This window comes from Homo sapiens, chromosome 5 (assembly GCF_000001405.40).
Source record: "Homo sapiens chromosome 5, GRCh38.p14 Primary Assembly".
NCBI lineage: Eukaryota > Metazoa > Chordata > Mammalia > Primates > Hominidae > Homo > Homo sapiens.
In genome coordinates this window covers 158,587,243-158,592,480 of record NC_000005.10, presented here as the reverse complement: position 1 = coordinate 158,592,480, position 5,238 = coordinate 158,587,243, and the positions used below count along the sequence as shown (strand labels likewise).

Below are 5,238 nucleotides of genomic sequence, written 5' to 3'. Positions count from 1 at the left end.
GTAACAAACCTGCATATTCTGCACATGTATGTCAGAACTTAAAGTATATATATATATATATATATAAAAGGAACTTCTAAGTCAATGCCCTCTGAGTTTGAATCTTTGCTTTGCTGAGACCACAGGAAGGTTCCAAAGTCAACAGAATCTGTTTCTTTTTCTATAAGGTGTGGTTGATAATACTGATCTTATTGGGTTATTGTGAAGCTTAAAGCTGGCAGTATCGTAATGTGCTGGCACACAGTAAATGTTCAAGAATTGGGAGTCATTGTTACTATATTTCACTCATTCTACAAAAATAAGAGGCAGGATGGGAGGCAAACATCAAGGTGGAAACCATCCAGCACTATTTCAGGCTAATACTAATAGAAATGCTGCTTTTGGGTTTGTTCCTAATATTGCAGCCCCCAAGACTTTCATCTTTAGCCTACTGGTCCTTGCTGCTTTACCCAGAATCAAGAAAATCTGTCTCTTTGCAGAGTTCACCTTTTCCAGAAGCTGCGTAAGAAAGAGAAAAACAAAGCCTAGTTTCCCAGGTTGCTATTCTCTCAGGATAAGAAAAGCCACTCGGAGGGTACCATGAGCGGAGGACGGGGAATGAGATGGAGGCGCAAAAGTTTATTAGAGGAAGGTGCGGGTCCCCAGGCCCCTAGAAGCCGGCTGTCTTCCAGGTCTAATTGCAGCACATTCCTGAGATCTGTCGTCACCAAGCCATGATGCAAACGCCTCAGCATTGTGGGTGGAGAGGAATTAGAATACCTATGAAAGTCACACAAAAACATATGCTGACCCCTTCAGACCTATGACCGTATTCTAAGTGGAGCCAAACTAAATGAAATCAAGGTCTCTGTCCAGCGTTTGAGAGCCAGTGAAAATAGGAACTCAGTGTTTCTCTAAATACACAGAGTGTATTACCTTAGTCATAAAATTGGGGACTTTCAAATCTAATTTGTTCAGCCCTAGTGCTGTTGAAGGCTGGGCAGGGTTCCAAAGGAAATCACCTCCACGCAAACAGAGATTAGCAGCTCTCCACTGGAGACATATGGGAATGATTCCCTATAATCTCCAGTAATTGTGGCTGCATTACATTCAAATCCTGTTTTCAATTTTCTTAAACTTCTAGACTGATTGTGTTATTAAATCATGCTGGCTGATGTGTTTAATAAGGACCTATTAAATGTTTATAAAATTAGGGAAATAAATATGGGCTTTTAGTCAGATTGCCCAATGGATCTGGTAACCTATTGTTAAAATAACAGCCCTGCTGTTAAAACTGCTTCTCCTGACTGCATTGGCTGGTACTCACTTTAAAACATTATCCCAGCATTCATGCAGAGCTGTTTATTCTAACACTCCATTCACTAAAGAATTTGAGCCCCACCCCCCTCCCTAGGCTCCACTCCACAAAAAAAGAAATACATTCAAAGAAGACTAACTAACTGTAAGATATAGTGTCTTGGCTGTCAAGAAATATCACCTCTGCTTCCAAAGAAGTAGTGATACCAACAGTTTTGAGAGAAGACCCAGAGGGACCAGTTTTGTTGTTGTTATTGTTGAAACCTTCACCTGGCTTAATTTCAGCATAGAAATTGCATTTAAGTTCTCCAAGGCCTTCAGTCGGAAGGTATGATCGGCCTTTAGAGAGGGAAGGAAAACTTGGCTAGAATTTATACAGCAGGGACAGAGAATGAATACAATCTATGCTTCAGACAGATGGGCTTACTTAGGAATTATTTTATCCATTGAATCTTGGTGATCATGGCTGGCTTGAGAAGTTTAGAAGTTCTCTATGACATGGCTCAGACTAGTGCAGTACCATTGGCTTCACTGGCATTTGAAAGCAAAGACTAGAAATGTCTGCAGAATGGATCCAGGCATGGAGGGCTATGCTCTCTTAAGAGGGAAGAATGGAGTATGGACCAAGTTAGGGGGCTTGCCTTTAGCTTTATATTCTGTAGCCACTTGACCTGGGAGAGGTATTTCCCAGTCCAAGAAACCTCCTTTTCCTTATTTCTAAAATGGAGATATTGACAGTATCGACCTCTTGTGTAGATTAAATAGGACGTAGTGTCTGGCACACAAGAGGGGCTCCAGTGTGGTTGCTTAAAAAATGAGAAGTGGAGAAGTAGAGGCTATGGTACAAATCAGTGATCTCTTTTGAAGTGCTAAAAATAACTATGAAGCTATGTTAATAATAAATATTAATACAATATTAGCTGTCTGAGCATGCTCCTGAGTGCAGCATTAAACCCAGTACCGCATGATTCTGTCCAAAGCAATTCCCCAACACAGACACAAAACCATAACTTCAATCCTCCCTGCCAAAACACTCTCAGCCACCTGGCCTTAAACCACAGTTTCCTACACCCTCGACCACAGCTCAAATAATTCTGTTATCTTCAGGGCAAATGCAAACCCCACTTTCTTGGACGGATTAACCTTTGAGTTTCCCCTAAGGAAAGAGAGGGCAATTAAACAATCTTTCAGGCACTTAAAAAAAAAAAAGGCCAACAAACTACATCATTATCTTGGTATAAACACACACCCTTAAAATATTTTATTTCTAACAAGTGTGTACTGAGTTCCCCAACTTGCCTACTGCCTCCACCCCCATTCCAGAATATGGTAAAATGATTGGGGGGGCTGGCCTGGTTCACATTAGAGACTCTGAAAGGTTGGGGGAGAATTGGATATAAGGTTAATATTTGGCAGAACCTTGTAAATGACCTGATTGTTATTTTATATTGGCTACAGCCTCCAAATCACTGCATCTTGCCAGAAAGACCCGAGTCTGGCCAGGTAGTTACACACAACAGTGTCATAAGCCTGCTCCATGGAGGGACACACTTACTCTGTGTGTTTGTGTGTGTGTGTGTTTTCTGTGAGTATGTGCACAGGCCCCCGCTGTTCTGCTTATGCCCAGCCAAAATACAGCAGAAACCCAGCACAGCAATTATTTTTATGAATTTTGTTTTGGTCTGCCCTCAGGGGAACTTCTCCCCGTTGAATTATCTGGGGGGATTGTTTCCTTGTGGGACTTTATTTCAAAACATTCCTGTTAAAATTTCTTTCTGAGGGGAAAGGAAAGAGAGGATGATTTTTTTTTAATCTCCTTAAACACACAAACCCACAATCACATAAAAATTCACCAAACTATGTATTCTGAAATTAATAGAGGTGTTTTGTGATGCATAGATTTTTAAATTATTTGTCTAGAGATATGTTTAGAATTGATTATATTAAAGCTGTATCAATCTTGAATTCCCTTCCCCCACTTCCATGCCTTGGAAATGAATTCAAGCAAACCAACTGAATTTTAAGTTAAGACAAACAGGGGGAGAGATCATTCATCTCCAGTTATACATGAAATAGCTTATAATAGTGGATGCTGAGTTCATGAAGTATATGTTCGACCCCCTTTGATATAAATTCCATCATCAGCTCACAAAGAAATTGTATTTATGCATAAGACAGTGCTCTCTAACATGAACTCCTATAAATTATGAGAACAGAAAATCCAAATTTATAAGATGCCGTTTCTGGATTTCTTTTTAATGCTCTCTCCCACATATTACCAAACAAATGCCACATTAGCAGAGCATGAAAGGCTTTTTACTGGCATAAGCTATGACCATGAAATTCACAGCACAGACTGGGCTGGGTTTAGGTGCAAATGAAGGAGCAAACAGAAAGTATGAGAGGGATCCCATGCTTGGGGGGTGCTTAGGAGGTCTAAAGGCCTGTTGTTTCCTGTAGTGTAGATAAGCTGGTCATTTTTCTTGGAAGGAAGGCACATTTCCTGATTCATTAACAATATTAAACATAGGTGATTATTGGCATTTCCTAAGAAATGTTTGTTTTCCCTTCCAAACTCTACATATAGGATAAGACTTAATTCTCCTCTCTATCTTCTACTAATGCATTCAGCAGTTCATGTATCTTTTCATTCGTTCATTTATTCATCAAATGTTATCGACTGCTTCAGGTGTGTCAACCATTCAGCTATGGAACTGAGGATATGGAATCTAGAAGGAAGATAATACAGGGTGGTAGTTAGAACACAAGCTGTCAAGTCATTCTGCCTAAGTTATACACGAAGAAATAATAATAGTATTAATAATATTGCTTACTTGGTGCCAGCCAGTATTCCAGGTTTCACACTATTACATGAGTTAACTCATATAATATTCCCACATACCTATGAGGTTAGATGCTATAATTTATTATTTTAACTATGAGAAACTTGGTTTAAAATGATCTGATAGTAAGGAATAGAGCTGGCATTTGAATCCATGGTTTCAAGGTCAGCAGATTGAATTACTATGTTGAAAAAAGTAGCTATTCCTAAATCAATCCATCAGTCAACCATCAATCCCCCAGCTCTGCCTTTCTCTGACTGTGTGACCTTGGGTAAGTTAGTTAACCACTCAGTGCTTTAATTTTCTTATCTATAAATGGAGATAATAATAGTACCTGCTTCATATCATAGTGGTGACAATTAAGGGAAAACTTATACATGTGCAGCACTTAGAACAGTGCCTGGCACAGGTGTGTGCTCAGTGCTCACTCTTAATAGTAATTATCGTCATTATGTGACAAATCTCCTTTCTTGTTACATACAATGGATGCATTAAGACATCAGGGTTTGGCAAGATGGAAGAATAGATGGCTCCACTGATTGTCCCCACCATAAGGACACCAATTTAACAACTATTTACACAGAAAAAAAAAACCCTTCATAACAACCAAAAATCAGATGAGTCCTCATAGTACCTGGTGTTAACTTTGTATTGCTGAAAGAGGCACTGAAGAAGAAAAACAGTCCGGAATCTCTGATGCCACCCCTCCCCAACCCCCAGCAGCAGCTCTGTGGTGCTGAGAGTGTCTCTGGGTGCTGCGGGAGGGAGACCAGAGAAACTGTAAGGCATTGAACTCAGTGCTGTCCTGTTAGAGCAGAAAGGAAAATTGGACCAAACTCAGCTGACGCTTGCCCATGAAGGGAGCTTTGAACCAGCCCTAGCTAGTCGGGTGGGAATCGCTGATTCCAGAGGCCAGAAGCTTGAGTGCCTGCAGACCTCCCCACTGATGGCTACAGTGCTCTGAGGTGCTAAGTAAACTTGAAAGGCAGTCTAGGCCATAAGAACTGCAACTCTTAGGTGAATCCTAGTGCTAAACTGGGCCCAGAGAGAGTGGACTGGGGAGAACTCAACATACTGAGACATAAACTGGGGTGGCTAA

The 5,238-nt window shown here is 40.6% G+C and overlaps 3 annotated features.

Annotated features, from left to right (window-relative positions):
- Nucleotides 303-931: an enhancer, noted in NCBI's record as "H3K27ac hESC enhancer chr5:158018558-158019186 (GRCh37/hg19 assembly coordinates)". NCBI's record gives its function as "activates a minimal SCP1, AML or CMV promoter by ChIP-STARR-seq in primed H9 embryonic stem cells {active_cell/tissue: H9 hESC(primed)}" and the evidence as "EXISTENCE:reporter gene assay evidence [ECO:0000049][PMID:30033119]".
- Nucleotides 303-1,721: a biological region, named in NCBI's record as "VISTA enhancer hs1208".
- Nucleotides 422-1,721: an enhancer, noted in NCBI's record as "VISTA enhancer hs1208". NCBI's record gives its function as "enhancer in: limb[9/10] | branchial arch[9/10]" and the evidence as "EXISTENCE:transgenic organism evidence [ECO:0001131][PMID:17130149]".